The sequence below is a fragment of the Homo sapiens genome, chromosome 2 (genome assembly GCF_000001405.40).
Source record: "Homo sapiens chromosome 2, GRCh38.p14 Primary Assembly".
Lineage (NCBI taxonomy): Eukaryota > Metazoa > Chordata > Mammalia > Primates > Hominidae > Homo > Homo sapiens.
This window is the reverse complement of record NC_000002.12, coordinates 240,000,428-240,017,067: the sequence shown is the minus strand read 5'-3', so window position 1 is coordinate 240,017,067 and position 16,640 is coordinate 240,000,428. Positions and strand designations below refer to the sequence as shown.

The window sequence follows — 16,640 nt, the reverse complement described above, 5'->3', positions numbered from 1 at the left end:
AGGCGTGCACAGCAGGGAGGCTGCACTGGGCAGTGGGAGTTGCCGCTCAGGAGGGACACTGGGCAGGCCTGGGTGGGTGGTTTCCTGTGTGCACAGTGGGGAGTGGCGTGGACCTGCCCTGGCTAGTGGGCCGCTAAGGGGGAAGGATGCACAGGGGCAGTGGACCGATGTGGCTTCATGTTTGGGCGTTGGATTCCTGAGTGTGAGGTTCCCATGGCAAGGTGGCAGGAGATACCTGTCGGCATCTGCTGAGTGTCTGCTGAAGTCTGAGGACTGGCCTGGGCTGGAGTCTGCAGGCGTTGGGGGTCCAGCACTGACCGTGAGCATGCTTTCCTTGGGAAAGCCCAAGGGGTGATGGGGGAGGGCTGAGACCAGATCCTTTGGGGACCATTTCTGGGGTGATGAGACCCCCACTGAGGGATTGAAGCTGAATGATCAGAGGTGCACAGGAGGAAGCAGAGGGGATGTGGGGAGGGTTGGTTGTTGGTGTCACATGTGCTGTGACTCTGATGGGAACTGAGAAGTGACTGTCACGTTTCACCTTTCGGGGGCTGGTGATGTTAGCCAGAGTCGTTTGAGTGCTGGGCTGGGGGAAAGCAGATCATGTTGGCTAAAGGACAGGTGGCATAGAGCAAGGTGGGGACCACCTGAGAAGTGGGTGTACTGACAGGAGTAAGGGTGAGGGTGGGAAGCAGGGTGAGAGCAGACTCGGTGAAGGGAGGTTTCACCTCAGCAGCAGGAGAGACCGGCCTGCTACCGGTCCAGCAGTCAGGAAGCAGACCCGAGGTCCCGTGTGCTCTGCCTGGCTGCGGGTTTGTGTTTGTATGCTCAGGTGAACGGTACTCCACTGGCAGCCTCCGTCCTTTGCTTTGTCACACCTCCTCCTGGGTGGTCTTCCTTGTTCTTTAGCTCGTGCCGTTCCTGACCCTGAGCCAAAGGCTCATCCCACAGTTGCCTCTAGAGTGAGGTTACTAGGAATGCTCACTGGAACTTTTTTTTTTAATTTAATTTTTAAAATTTTTATTTATTTATTTTGAGACTAGGTTAGGAGACTGGCTAATGTTTGTATTTTTGGTAGACATGGGATTTCACCATGCTGCTCAGGCTGGTCCTGAACTCCTGGGCTCCAGTGATCTGCGCCCACCTCGGCCTCCCAAAGTGCCAGGATGACAGGCGTGAGCCACTGTGCCCAGCCCATTTCCTTTAAAGCAAAATAGTTGTCTTTCTGTGGACCCTAGCATGGCCATCTGTCACTTCTGGAAGGTTCCACACGTGAAAAGCTGCAGAGGGGATGGCTTCTCAGCATGGCCTCTCCACATGCACTGGCGTGCACTCTCTGTTGGCTTCTGGGAGGTCGGGTGTGCATGAGCATGTGCAGGTGCAGAGTGCTCTGAAGAGCGGCAGGGTTCCCTTGGGTGGCACGGGCCCTGCGGGTGCCCCCTGGATTATGCATTCTGTGTAGTGATCACTTTAGGAGAATTATTCCTCAGCCTTAGCTGCTTTCAATTTCATGTTGTCACTAAATCTGACTCAGTAGATACTTCTGTGCAGCTGATTATACTACTGAAACGGGATAAATGCAGCTTGATGATTTTCAGCTGAGTTATTTGAAAAATAAAGTATTTAAAGCTGTTCTTTATTCTTCAGAGAAGACCAGACTCTTGTATCTATTATTACTGTGAAGAAATATAGTAGCATGTATACTATATACCTGCAACATATATACTGCAAGTATATGGAATATATTTCAGTTCAAAGATCACTGAACTGTGACCTCCATCTTGCGTGACCTACGTCTTGCCTCAGGAGCAAAAGTGAACCCTTAAATGTGGCTAAGATGTGCTAAAGATCTGTCTTTTAGGATGATTAAGGTCACAGTTTAAATGCTGCTGTTTTACTCTGTGTAAGTAGCTTAATTTCTCTGGGCCTCAGACCTTTGGTTTGTAAATACAGTGGAGGCGACAAGCCCTGTTTTCAGGGTTGTGGGCACCACAGCTGCTGTCTGCACATGCCCCGTGGCACCTGGAGCACAGTCACATGCCATGTGTGTGGTCAGTGCTTAGAACTGTGACCGAGATAGGGTTTGTAGATTGGTACGTGGCTTTGAGAATTGCGTGTATGTTTGCCCTTTTATTCAAGGAGGAGTGTGTTTTGGAAACCCGTGTGGGGACTGGTAGGTGACAGCGCCCCTTTCTCCTATGTGCCAGGTGTGGACCACTACAACGAGGTGAAGAGCGTCACCATCTGCGATTACCTGCCCCCCCACCTGGTGATTTACATCGATGTGCCCGTTCCAGAGGTCCAGAGGCGGATTCAGAAGAAAGGAGATGTAATGCAGTTTTCAATCAAAGGCCAAGCATCTCTATTTTGAATGTAGATCAGCACTAAAAGCCCTGTTTTAATAGCATTTATACTAATTCCTACCAGTCCTCACGAGGAGGGTGACACACACCCTGTTCCCACTTGAGAGAGGGCATCTGCAGGGGTGGAGGGGAGACCCCATGGCTCGGCCTGGTGCCACAGCCTGCGGGCCTGCCGCCCACCAGTGCTCTGCGGTCCCACTGTGGTCCCCGAGTCCCCTCAGCTGTTTAAACTTGGGAGGCTGGTGAGGGCCTCCTGGCAGAGCGTCCTCCATCCCTCTGTCACGTACCTTTCTGTTCTCTGATGAGGTTTTTGTGTCCTATCGTTTTCTTCCACATTGGAAGCAATTTCTAATATCCCTCATCACTTCAATCTATTTAACGCAAATCGTGCCTCTCCCCCTTTTTCTTACTTACCAATTCTAGAACAGTAGAGCAGTGATATCCACACACATCCATTTACTCTTTGTAGTTTTCATTGGATCTTAATTAGGTGGCCTCGAAGCAACGCCTTTTGAAGTGACCCTGTGGCCGTTGGTAGCTCTGTTGGCGGCTTGATGGAGGATCCTGAGATGAAACAAAGACCGTCTTTGCCCTGTGGCGAGTTCTTTGTTTTTTTTTTTTGAGACAGAGTCTCGCTCTGTCACCCAGGCTGGAGTGCAGTGGCACGATCTCGGCTCACTGCAAGCTCCGCCTCCCGGGTTCACGCCATTCTCCTGCCTCAGCCTCCCAAGTAGCTGGGACTACAGGCGCACGCCACCATGCCCGGCTAATTTTTTTGTATTTTTAGTAGAGACGGGGTTTCACTGCTTGTTTAATACTATGTTATTTTTTCCTGGAGGAGAATATGGTCTCCTTTTTGATACTGTGATGAAAATGCAGGGCTACCTGCCTGTTCCTCACTCTGATGCCCATCCTCAGTGCCGGAATTCTTGTAGGTGCTCAGGAAATACCTCTCTGGATGGTGGGTTCTTGTCAGGGCAACAGTAAAGCTCTGGTTATTTTTTGCTGCTCCTGAAAGATCCATGGGACTAACTTTCCTTCTCTGTTGCAATAGTAGAAACAGCGAGATGTCTATGTATGCCTTTCTATTGCCACTCTGGAACTTTTATTGTTTAAGCATATGCTTGTAAGTATGTTGTATAGCTAGACTTCTAAGAACCTTCCATCAAGTGGCAAAAGGAGGGAACTGCAAGTTCAAAATGTTTGTTTCTCAGTGGACTAACTGGACACCTTTGCTTATTATGCTGACATTTATTGAGAAAAACAAAGTCATACATTTAACATTCTCTAGATAATTCTTTTGTTATCTGGGAAAACAGTATTTCAAAAATAATTCTGAGGTCTAAAGTAGAGCTGTCAACTTCTTAATTTTTCCAAGTAAAGTCTTCAATACTGTCATCAGGTAAAATTACCCCATTTTATAAAAGACATCACATTATCAGTAAGTCTGTGTTCTTATTTTGATTTTTATTTCAATGCAGTCTGTGTCTCAGTATTGCACCTTTTGGGAATAACTGATAGGAATATCCGAAAACCATTTCTAGATTCTAAGAAAACAGTCAAAGTGATCAATAACTACATATTTTATCAAGTAACTTCAGGTCAGATTTCTGAGATGGTTGTGTTATGTTGCATGTTATGGGCTTATATTACACTAGAGTTTCTTTTATAATCAGTTAACATTTAATCTTATTCTACTTGGCACATAGCTAATGATAGAGATTTAGAATCATATCACCTCTTTTATACTTTTGTTGATTTCACTCACTCCTCTAATACAGAGCACCTCCTATATGCAAGGCGCCTGTGCCAGGCACCTAGGAGGCTGCAAAGATGAACAAAGATGGTCTCTGCCCAGACACCAAGTCCTTATTGGAAAATAGAACTCCCAATTACTGCCTTTCCCCCTTTTGACAGAGCAATGAAGTGCAGCATTGCCTGTATCATCCTTTCCCTGTGCCCCGTCGCATTACTGGAATTAATACATGTTCAGTAAATATTCTTTGAATGATAGGGTTTTTCTTATTTTGAACAGCTTTAATGAGGTATAATTTATGCTCCATAAAATTCACCCATTTTAAGGGTACGACTGAATGATTTTGGGTAAATTTACCAAGTTGTTGCCACTCTTGCCATAATCCAGTTTTAGAATGTTTTCATCATTTTGTAGGTTGAAACCGCAGGCCTATTCATTTCTTTCTTCCTTCCTCTCTCTCCTGTAAGTGTTGATTGAGCATCCACCCTGTCCTAGACCCTGCTTGGTGCTAGGGACATACCAGTGAGCAGGGTGGATGAGGTCCTCACCCGTGAGCTCATATGCTGATGGGGGAGACCTACAGCAAGCAAGGAGATAAATAAATACATCAAATAGAGGTAAATGATGTGAAGAAAACAAAACGGGCTGAGAAGATAGTGTGAGACTGTAAGGAGTTTTAAATTTTAAAACTTGCTACTCATAATTAGATATTCAAGTTTCTGAAATTCGCATAGTGCATTTCAGATGATGAGAGAGGTGACAGCCGTAGAAAGTGGGAGAAGTGGTTGCGGGGAGATGGGTGAGCGATGGAGGTGGCGAGCAAGTTGGAGAGATGCAGGGAGAGTCAGGTGACAAGAAGAGAGTGTGCTGAGGACAGATGGCGGACAGACAGGCCGCTGCCCCCAATTTTTGGTGCTCTTTCATTCCTGCACTCAGGCACGAGGCAGACAGGAAAGACAGGCAGTGCTGCTTCGTAACAGGCATCTTTCTTGCCCTAAGTATACATCTTAGAATGTGTGGAGAAAGTCACGCTATGGGAGCACTTGGGCAGGCTCAGGTGTTCACTGTAGTAGAAGGAGAATGACTCTAGCTGATGTTGGGACCCTTTGCTGTCACCCCGCAGTCCCCACAGTGCCCGGTGTGAGTTGTAAGAAAATGGTGGTCAGTGATTGTCTTCGCATTTTATATACGCACAGGTCAAAGAGAATGAACTCTAAATGTTTCCCAGTTTGATTTTTCTGCTTCTGTTTAGCCACATGAAATGAAGATCACCTCTGCCTATCTACAGGACATTGAGAATGCCTATAAGAAAACCTTTCTCCCTGAGATGAGGTGAGCCAAACACACGACTGATTTACAGGGCTAAAACTTCTTCGCCACTCGTTTCTTAGGCCCCAACAGCCCAGGGAGTTTTCTGTCTTATTTACTGCAGTGGATATTGTCTGAGATGTTTAATCTGATGTTTATAAATAAGAAAAACAGGAGACATTTCAGTTTGATTTTTGTGGGGTTTATTGGTTTATTTGTTTTGGTTTGCTTATCTTGTCAGTACTTTTGCTCTGCTATATTTCTGAAGTTTTTTGATGCTAGAAGTAAACCAAGCTCTATTCCATGACAGGTTTTACCATAGAGAACTTGTGTATTTTTACTTCAGGTGGCAACTAAACATTCGTGTTTACCTAGAAGGATTGATTGGAAGTGTATTCATGGAGAAAATTCATGAAAGATAACACTTTCTCTAGACATTCTTAATTGATGTCCTTGAGAGATGTTTGGATTAGATGAAGGAAACACCACCAGACTGTTTTTCTTTCTTTTCCCCCTTTCTTTCTTTGTTGAAAGCACATGGAAAATGTGGTTTCACTCATCCTATGGCTTGTCATTCTGCGCTCCTTGGGTATATTCGTGTGTAAGGAATGTCTGCCACACTCATTCACGTCCAGTTAAACTCAGATTGTTTGAATAATGCTTGAATTGAAGATTTTTATACTATTTCTCATACTTTTTAAAACCCTAAGCCTCTTTCGGTGCCTAAAAATCTCATGTTCTTGTTGTTTAAAATTTCAAAGTAACTGAAGTTGTGAATAAAAACAAAAGTATAGCAATTTTAGAAAAAAAGTTTTATTTTTACATTTATTTTAGTTAAATACTGAATATTTACAATGAACAGCCTTAGAAGATAATATTGTTAGACCATAGGTAATAATAAAATCAAAAGTGAATAAGAGAAATGTTCTATTCAGGGAGTTTTTTCTGTACCGTAAGTATTAACGTTTATGTCATCTCTGCTTGTTTGTGGTGAGCGTTTCTTTCTTAGGTGGTAAGAAGACTGGGTGGCCTCTGGCTTCCTTTTAACCTGTTGTACTGCCCTATTTCCAAGGCCACAATACCAAGGGAAGTATCTAGAGCCAACGTGAATAAACAGCATAAACAGAGATAGTTGACCCTAGAGTTTCAGGCTCAAAAATTACTCTTGGAGATCTTCTGGCTTCAAAAACATCACTGAGAAAGAGCTTTGTCATAATTTCTCAAATGGAGTTTCTAGCTACAACATCAGCAAAATAATGGCTGGTTTCAGCCTGTGCACAGGGCAAGAGTTTCTTTTACTTTGCCGCCCTCATAGACTCGTTAAGCCTCAAGCATTTATTTCTTACCACTTGGTCTTGCTGTGTTTTTAACTCCTGTTTTAGGAACAGATACAGTCTCTGTTCATTGTTAAAGTAGATCTTATCTGACAGCTCAAGCCGTATGGATTGATGGGAGCCACTTGATGTAGGGGTCATTTGTCACACATTGAAGAATGAGTACCAGATGTACTCTATGCAGTATGCATTATTTTAAGTGCTGAATTGTAGACCAAGATCAAACTGCAGCTTTGTGATGGACTTGGATCTTAAAAGTTTTCTCATAGAAATTCACTATGAAATTTGGCTGAAACTATTTTTTGTAAAATTGCAAGAAACCTATGACGAGTTGTATTTTAAAATTTATTGGCCATTAGCATTTTAGAATTCAGGAGTTATTTTCCAACAGAAACAATATTAGGTTTCCCGGGCTTGTATATTTAAACCATTGTTTAGTTAAATACTGAATATTTTTATTGTTAGATCTTAGGTTAGACCTTAGAAGACAATATTGTTAGATCATAGATAATTAATAAACAGTAAAATCAAAACTAAATAAGAGAAATGTTTTTAGTTTTAATACTAGTATTTGAAATAAAGCAGATTGACCTGACAAGATGATGGCTCCGTTGAAGTTCTGTGTCTCCTGTCTTTGAGCAGTTCCTCCTGTGTTAGCCCTTCTCTCTGTCACGTGCTGATACATGGTGATGCTTCACTGTTTTTGTATTTGTTGCTTATGAATGCATAAAGAGCATTGCAGCCTTTTCCAAAATATTTGTATTGTGGGATTTTAAGAGGTACAATGAGCTAACTCTCATAGGAATGTGTATTTTCTGGCTTTGTCAATATTTATGACCCAGATCTTAGGCGTACATGTCTTTCTCCTCATTACCTTAATTGTGAATGTGTTAATGAGTATCAACTTAGTTTCACCAACATTTGGCCATTCCCGCGTTCAACATATACTTATTTACTCAGCTCCAACACTGCTAGCTCCCAGTGTCAGTGTTAGCTGAGACACAGAGGTACACAAGACAGAGTAGGGAAGGCCTTTCTGAGAAAGAATCGTCACCTCTGAGATTTCAGAGACAAGAAGAGGAGCACTGAGTGACCAGCCTGACATGTAGCGAGTTTTGTAACTGTCTTTATTGTTTCAGATTGTTCTAAGGTGGGTGAGGAGCTGGGGAGGCTCTGGAAGTATTGAAATAACTTGGGGGTTCAGTAATACAGCTTGTGGCTCTCCTCGGCCCTGAGCTACCTATAGGAATAACCACCATTGAGGTTGCACGTGAACTGCTGGCCCAGCCCTTTATGGGGGTTTCCTCCAGATCCCTGACTCCACACTTGATACCTTCTTATTTTAGGCCTCCTTTCACAAGGCAGTGGGAATGAGAGGCAGGTGTGACTGGACGGAGGCGGTTTTATTTGTCTGTTGCCGAGGTTGTTAGCATGCTGAATGGAGGCGCACAGAAGATAGAAAATGGACTCTCCAGGTTGCTCTCATCAGGTAGTTTGGGGTCTGGAGCTCATTAAGGGCAGGAGCCCTGTCTTCCCCACCTTCCATACCCCACACAGCACCTGGCTCCTGGTGGGGCTTCAGCTAATGTCTGTTCAGTTATGTGTGTTGAACGAAACTGTCACATCGTCCTGATCTCTCATGACCACTCTTGTGCAAATATGTCAAATAGTTTGTGACCTTTCATATTGCTGTGTGAGAACAAATAATGTTTCTGTGCCAGCCCTGTTCATCAGGGATGTTTAAGACCTCTGTCTCCTATACACTTCAGTTGAATATTCACTTAGGTGACTTGCAGAGGGAATTATTCTCCTTTGTCACTTTGTGCCTTTCTCTTCGTATTAACAATGGGTAGCTGTAGAGGTTCAGGAAGCAATACAGCAAGTCCTGTAATTAGTGTGGCCTTTTCCTTGCCAGCCCTAATGGCAAATGCAGTAAGTTACTTTCCTCACTATGGATTTATTGTTCATTCTGCTTGCAGTTTCTGACCATTTATGTTGATCTTAAGGGTGCTGTGAGGAGTGCAGTGATCTCGTTGCAGTAAGAATCTGTTATCCAGTTGTATGACTCTGAATTGTGAGTTATAGACTTGTGTGGAACAGATGTGTTACTGAGTGATTGTAGAGCTTGAAGACTTTTTTCTTTTTCCTACACTTTGGAAGTGATGTGAGTCAGTAATGATGAGACTTAATAAAATACAAGCACTTTACCTGTACTACGTAATTTAATCAACCAGTGGTCTGTTGAAGATGGTCAGCAGAGTTGGTGAAGTTTGTTTGGTACCATTGTAGGGGTCAGATGCTGATTTCAGTATGAGAATAAATAGCTTGTACATTCTTGGAGTATTTACTTACCCTGTATGTTTACATCCTAAATGTGTGGAGGGTGCTCTGGTGTAAAGATGCCCTCTGTGCCTGTGCTCATTTAGGCCCTGCTGTGGAGGGTGCTGTGGTGTAAAGATGCCCTCTGCCTGTGCTCGGTTAGGCCCTGGGCTGTGGAGGGTGCTCTGGTGTAAAGATGCCTTCTGCCTGTGCTCGGTTAGGCCCTGGGCTTCGTTGTCCTTCCGTGCAGCGGGCACTGCCTTTGGCGATGGTATGTGCAGCTGCTGACATGGCTCATGTACCTTGCTCCTGTGGACAGTGATGGCTGTGGTCTGTCACGCCCTTGGCTTGGGGGCAGTGTAGTCAGGAGAAGGGAAACGAGGAAATGGTCCTGCTGTTGTCACTGTCAAGCCAGCCATGAGAACATTCTGGCTTTTAACATGTCCTCCTGAACCAGTCAAGCTCTAATGCACCCTCACATGCCCAGCACAATGCCCAGTGCAGAGAATGTGAGGTTTTAAATTTGAGCAGGAGACTTTAGCGGTATGTATTCATTTGTACATTTAACTTCAGCTTGGAAAAGTTTACACTGAATTTCATCTTGTTTTTTCTTACAGTGAAAAATGTGAGGTTTTACAATATTCTGCAAGGGAAGCTCAAGATTCAAAAAAGGTAAGAAAATGGTTGAAAAGTTGAAAGTTATTCCTACATTTGATTCATGTGTAAGGTTCTTGCAAATCAGATCGTCAGTTAGATTCCCACTGGTCTTAACAAACATCACTGTTTTATCACCTGAAAGCAGTGCCAGTCAAACCCATCATCACACTCCCCTGGCCATGAGGTTTCGAGTTTCTTTCAAGTAATTCGGTTTCTACGATCTGAAAATTACAGATGTCACAGAATCTTGGGTCATCCACTCTACCATTTTTATTAAAGAGATGGAAAATTGAAAGTTGGATTAGTTAATGGGAAAGATTTACATGTAAAGATAACAGTTTTCCTTAAATTCGTGTGTTTTGTGAAAGTCTAGTAAATCTTGGTGTAGTTTTCAGGGAACTTTATGAATAACAGCCAGACAAACATTAAAACATCTGAAGAAGAATAACGAAAGAACATTTGCCCTCTCACATACAAAAACAAACTATACGATTGTAGTAAGGAGAGCATTGTGGTGTTAATGCAAGAATTAATAAAGAGCTTAATGGAACAAAACAAGAGTCCAGAAACATGTATGCACCTGTGTGTAAGTATCTTCAGTTTGGCAAAGTTAGTTCCTTAAAGGATAATTACAAAAATGAAGTAGAGGAAAATTGTTTCCTAAATGGTACTGAGGCAACTGAGCATCCATTTGTTAAAAAACAAGTTTTTTATTTTGTATTTTATATATTAAGCATAAATTACTAAAAACAAAACGAGGTGTAACAATTCTAGAAGAAAATACAAGTTTCAGGATCTGGTCTTGAAGTGTGAGTGGTGCCCGTGTAACAGAGAAGCTTTGCATAGTTGGCTGCTGGGGTGACAAGCGTGCTTCAGTTGCCTCTCAGCATTGGGAGGGTGAGAAGAGGGAGGTTGACTGAGCTTTTCTGCACAGAGAGTAGCATTCTCCTTGCAGAGGGAAGCCCTGCATTCTCGCCCAGGCTCTCCTACTACCAGTTGTAAAGTTCTTTTGAGACCTTGGTTTATTCTACTCAGACTGATTAAATTACATTTCATTTTCTCCTCCGCCTTCTGTTTCTGTTTTTAGAGTATTTATATACCTTTGAGAGACTGTTTAGGTGGCATGTATCTTAGAAGAAGAATAATACGTTTTGTCTCCAATACTATGTTATTTGAGTTCATTTTTGAATTTACTCAAATTCCCGAAACTAAAGAGGGTTCATGAGTTTGGCCTGTTGTGAGGAGAGAATGCGTATGGAAAGATTACTCCTCTGGAAAGTCAGACTGTGTAGACAGCCAGCCTTGAGGCCGGGCACCTAGATCATTAGGTCTCTCTAGGTAATGGGTTTGTATCTTATTCTTTTGTCATTTTGAGGGGCTAGGTTTTGCCTTTTAGAAGGAACTTACTTGGGAAGAAATGAGTAGCCTGTCCTGAAGGCTGATTTTTCTCCCCTAGTCTTCATTGTTCTCACCTGTCCTTTTCTCCCAGCCTGCAGGGTAATGTCTGTCCTACTTGATCCCTGAGTGTTAGCTAGGCAAGGCCATACTGTGATGCAACACTCAACCCCACCATTTCATTAAAGGTCAGCCAGCTTCACTTCCATTCTGACTGTTACGGTGTGATTCTTCCTGCCAAATATTCATAGCTTATAATGTATTAAAATGTTACCTCTTGGCCAGCCATGGTGGCTCACGTCTATAATCCCAGCACTTTGGGAGGCTGAGGCAGGAGGATCGCTTGAGCCCAGGAGTTTGAGACCAGCCTGGGCAACGTGGTGAGACCCCATCTCTACTAAAAATACAAACATCAGCCAGGTGTGGTGGCATATGCCTGTAGTCCCAGCAACTCGGGAGGCTGAGGTGCTGAGGTGGGAGGATTGCTTGAGCCCAGCAGGCCAAGGCTGCAGTGTGCTGTGATTGTGCCACTACTTTCCAGCCTGGATGATAGAGCCGGACCCTGTCTCAAAAAAAAGTTATTTCATTTAAATTTCTAAAATGGGGTTCTCTGTTTAAATTGGAATTTTTCCTGTCTTAGGTGGTAGAGGACATTGAATACCTGAAGTTCGATAAAGGGCCGTGGCTCAAGCAGGACAATCGCACTTTATACCACCTGCGATTACTGTAAGTGCATCTGTGTGGGGGCTGCTGCATGTCTGGGGTCTACTTGCATGATGGGGAAACTTAGGGAAGTTTGAAATAATTATGTTTCAAGTTAGGTGTTAGCAGCACCAACCCAATACTTAGAGGTATTTTTTCTTCCAAACAGCTCCTGAATCCCCTGGTCTGATACTTAATTTATTGAGTGCCATTATTAATTTAACAGGCATTTTGCTTCCACTATGTGCAACACCGTTCCAGATTTAAGAGATATAGTGTCAGATAAAATTCTTGATGTCTTTGAAAATGTGTTTTAGTAGGTGAGACAGAGTAAACAAATAGATAAAACTGCGTCAGGTCACAAAGGCCAGGGAGAGAAGTAACCCTGAGTAACAGGGTGGTGAGTAGCTAGGGGTGACAAAGGGCCTCTCTCGGGATGAGGCCTAAGTGAGGCCAGGATTGGGTCCTGTGGGCCGTGGGGTGAGCAGAGGGCAGGGGCTTGGCAGGTGCAGAGGCTCTTCAGGCAGGAGTGTGGTGGGAAGGTGCGCCCAGCAGCCAAGCCAGTGTGGCCAGAAAAAGTGTGGGGAGGGGAGGCCACAGCGGAATGGAGCAGGACTAGGAGAGGAGGCCATGGCGGAATGGGGCAGGACTAGGAGGGGAGGCCGCGGTGGAAGAGGGCAGGACTAGGAAGGGAGGCCACTGCAGAAGGGGGTAGGACTAGGAGGGGAGGCCACAGCAGAAGGCGGATAGGTCTTGGTGCGTTTGGTGGGTTTTCTTCTGATGAGATGAGATGCCGTTTGGGGGTTTGAAGCAGAGGAGTAATACGATATGACTTATATCCATTCAGCTATTGTGTGGATTCTTTGGTATCTATTAAATGAAAAACAAAAACCATACCGATTAGGTAAGGTTGAAAAAAGCTGTCTTCATCTGCACCACTCTATTGAAACTGCTCCTGCCAAGGAGACGGCCTCGCCATTCCAGATGCGGCAGACCCTTGTCTGTCTTCATGCTGCTCCCTGGCCCTGGAAGCAGCACCGCTGCCCCTCTTCTCCACTCCCTTCTCCTGGTTCCATGCCCTCCTCCTCCCCCACTCTCTCACTCCTCCACCAGCTGCTGCCTTCTGGGGCCGGGCTCTCTTTTTCTGGTTCCTTCTGCCTGCTGCTGGGCTCTGGCAGGCACAGTGACCCCGGGCAGTGTCTCGTCCGTTGAATTCAGTTTCTTGAGGACGTACCTAGTCACACAGCTGTGGATAGCGTGGATACCACCGTAGGTCTTGGCCCAGACCTTTACCCTGCACACCCAGCAAATATCCCTCGGCTGCCTCTTGCAGTGTCTCTGTGCATTGACCTTCCCACCGGTGATCCCCAGCTCTGCCTCTTCTGTCCTGGCTGGTGCTGGCCACCCGGGAATCTCATCCTGCTTGGGTCTGTCCTCCACCACCCACCCCCTGCTGCTTCTCATCACTGCAACGCCCAGTTCCTGGTACAGGCCTCATATCCAGCGTGCACTCAGGAGATGTATCTGGAGTGAGTGACTTTGATTTCTTTTAGGGCTATAAATTCTACAAAATTCAGAGATGATTTTGTAATGAGAAGTGCTGTTGTATCATAATTCTGATTATTTATAAATCAAGATTGGAGTAATTTGAGGGTCTTTGACTTGTGAAAATGCAGGAAACATGAGTAGCTATTTGGGGATCTGCCTTTTGTGTTAAGTCTCGAGCCCTTGGCCTGAGCCTGCCCTGTGCTGCTTCCTGCCTCTACCCAGGATGCTCTGTGCAGACTGCACCAACACTTTGCCTCTCGAGGGCCTGGAGGCACAAGGATGGCCGGGGCACTCAACTTCCCTCTCCTCAACGTTTGGATGTAAATTAGGAAGTTGGTGCCTACAGATGGCAGCTCTGTTCTTGGCCCTGTGATGTTGGTGTTCTTAGGCCGTTGGTGCTTACCTTCTTTCTCTGCCTGATGGGATGTGAGTGATACAGTAGTCTCCTAGGATGACCAGAGGGACAGCTGGCTCACTGCACATGTCACTAAAAGTTCACTGATCAAAATGTAAACAGAATGTGTAATAAGTTTACTTCTGGCCAGGCAGCGTTCACGTCTGTAAACCCAGCACGTTGGGAAGCTCAAGTGGGAGGATTGCTGGAGCCCCGGAGTTCGAGACCAGCCTGGGCAATATAGTGAGACCCCATCTCTACAAAAAATTTAAAAATTATCTGGGTATGGTGGTGCATGCCTATAGTTTCAGCTACTTGGGAGGTTAAGGTGGGAGGGTCACTTGAACCTGGGAGGTTGAGGCTGCAATGAGCTGTGTTCACGCCACGGTACTCCAGCTTGGGCGACAGAGACTCTGTCTCTCAAAAGAAGTTCACTTCTGTTTGATGTTTTTAGTACAGCATTAATAAGCAAAAAATAGGTTTACATTAAAAAAAACTAGTCATTCTACTTAGTTTGTTAATTCCTGCCCCCCTGTTAAAATAGTATTTGCAAAATCAGTTTTCTAGTTAGTGGAATGGATACTGAAGGGTGAGCAAGGTAGGCACACTGTGGGGTCCTCATGTCAGACTGAGGAGACGGGAAGGGTCAGGTCAGCCCTTAGCTGGCTGTGTGACTTGGGACAAGTCACTTTATCTGCCTGTGCCTCCATATGTAAGATTATGGCAGTGAGGTAGAGTGCTAGGCCATGTGTATTGAAGGAAAAAACAAATATAAATTTCATATATTATATTCCATATACTGACTACTGTATAAAATGGTGTTAATCTAAAAGTAGCTTACTGAAATGATTGGCTCTCTAGAAAGTCTTTTGAAAGGAATCTAGCAAATCTTCCATTAGAAAGTAAAACAAACAACAAAACCCGCTTTCCTTGTCTTTTTTTTTTTTTTTTTTTTTTTTTTGAGTCAGAGTTTTGCTCTTGTTGCCCAGACTGGAGTGCAGTGGCGCAATCTCAGCTCACTGCAACCTCTGCCTCCTGGTTCAGGCGATTCTCCTGCCTCAGCCTCCTGAGTAGATGGGATTATAGGCATGCACCACTATACCCGGCTAATTTTTTGTATTTTTAGTAGAGACAGGGTTTCGCCATGTTGGGCAGACTGGTCTTGAACTCCTGACCTCAGGTGATCCACCTGCCTCGGCCTCCAGAAGTGCTGGGATTACAGGCGGGAGCCACTGCGCCGGCCTTCCTTGTCTTTCTGAGCCATTACTAGGAGATGGAAGTAAAGCACAAAGCACTGCTTTTGGCCTCTGAATAAATATTCTGCATCCTGGAGACAATGGCCAAGGGTTACAGTGCCTACTCCAGGTGGACAACACATTTCAACCTGAGGGCCGTGAGTTTGCTGATTGACAGGGCGACCGACCAGAAATTAGAGGGGTCCTCTGAGGTGTCTGAATGTAGAAGTTTCTCTGAGTCATTGAAGTCAGCTGATTATTCCCTGTGCAGCCATTTTTGTTGCAAAGTCAGTGTGTGCTTTGCTGTGAACTGTGGCAAGGGCCATCAAACATTGGTTTATTCCGAGTAATTTTAACTTTAGGACAGGGATGCGTAGGTGATGGAGACCAAGAGGAGAAAATAAAAGTATATTTCTGAGAAGAAAATGATTGTTGTAATACCAGAGACTCACCATTTCATAACCAGGTCAGAAGGATCCCTTGAGAGGGACTCAGCCACTCACCTGTCACTGTGCCCCTGGGCAAGGGGCCTAACCTCTCTGAGCCTCTGTCTCCTTGTTGTAAAGCAGGAAGAAAATAGAAGCTACCTCATAGGACTGTTGTGGGGATTAAATGTGGGAATAATTTGAAAGGCTCAGAACCATGTGTATATATCATAAGTACTAAAGTTTTAGGGACTATGTTATGATACTGTTTATGGTATATTATTATACTCTGATTGTAGATGCATGATGTGTTTACATTTCTCCATTAATATTTTTGTTCTTTAATACTAAGCTTTTTTTCTTTTACTTTTTAAGTAGTATTTTTCTGATCTTAGAAATAATTTACATTAATTATCCTCAATTCACGCTTTATGGAAATCTACAGTGAAGTTGAACGAACCCACCTCCTAAAGACAACCGTGTTGAAGATGCTATTCATATTTTTTTCTGTGCATGCCCCAGTGCAGTTGATTGTTGTAAGCCAGATTCCCAGTGTGCCCTGCCCCTTGGTGGGAGAGCTGACCTTCCGAGTGATGTGCTCACCACCCTTGCAGGATTGAGCACCACAGGGCTTAGCACTGCTTTGTGTATGTAGTTCTGTGTTGCTTAACGACAGGGATATGTTCTAAGAAAGGTGTCGTTAGGCGATTTCATCATCGTGAAAACATCATAGTGTGTGTTTACACAAGCGTAGATGCTATAACCTGCACACCTAGGTGGTGTGGTGGAGCCTGTTGCTCCTAGGCCATAAACCTGTACAGCATGGTACAGTACTGAATACTGTTGGCAGTTGTAACACGACGGTAAGTATTTGTGTATCTAAACATAAAAAATAATATGGTATAAAAGGTGAAAATGGTCCACCCGTCTGGGGCATGTACCGTGAGTGGAGCTGACGGGACTGGCAGTTGTTCTGGGTGAGTCAGTGAGTGAGTGGTGGGTGAATGTGAAGGTCTAGGACATCACCGTACACTGTGGTAGACTTTGTAAACAATGTACAATTAGGCTACACTAAATTTATATAAAAAGTTTTTTTCTTCAGTAAGAGATTAACCTTAGCTTACTATAACTTTCTTTATAAACTTAAATTTTTTTCTTTCTTTATATCCTTATTCTAGAAGTATTTTCTGATTTTTAAAATTAT

General features: G+C 44.2%; 1 protein-coding gene across 9 annotated transcripts in view; it reads left to right on the top strand.

The window, feature by feature from the left end:
- Positions 1-16,640, top strand: part of NDUFA10 (NADH:ubiquinone oxidoreductase subunit A10) — a 132,901-nt gene that overhangs the window by 8,275 nt on the left and 107,986 nt on the right. For 5 of the 9 annotated variants that reach the window (NM_001322020.2, NM_004544.4, NM_001410987.1 and 2 more), the window contains exons 5-8: positions 2,208-2,329; positions 5,372-5,451; positions 9,698-9,752; positions 11,773-11,858. In NM_001322020.2, the coding sequence (NP_001308949.1) occupies positions 2,208-2,329; positions 5,372-5,451; positions 9,698-9,752; positions 11,773-11,858 (343 nt within the window). Of the gene's footprint in view, positions 1-2,207; positions 5,452-9,697; positions 9,753-11,772; positions 11,859-16,640 lie in introns of all 9 variants that reach the window. The other 4 variants (NR_136158.2, NR_136157.2, NR_136156.2 and 1 more) reach the window with 1 other exon arrangement.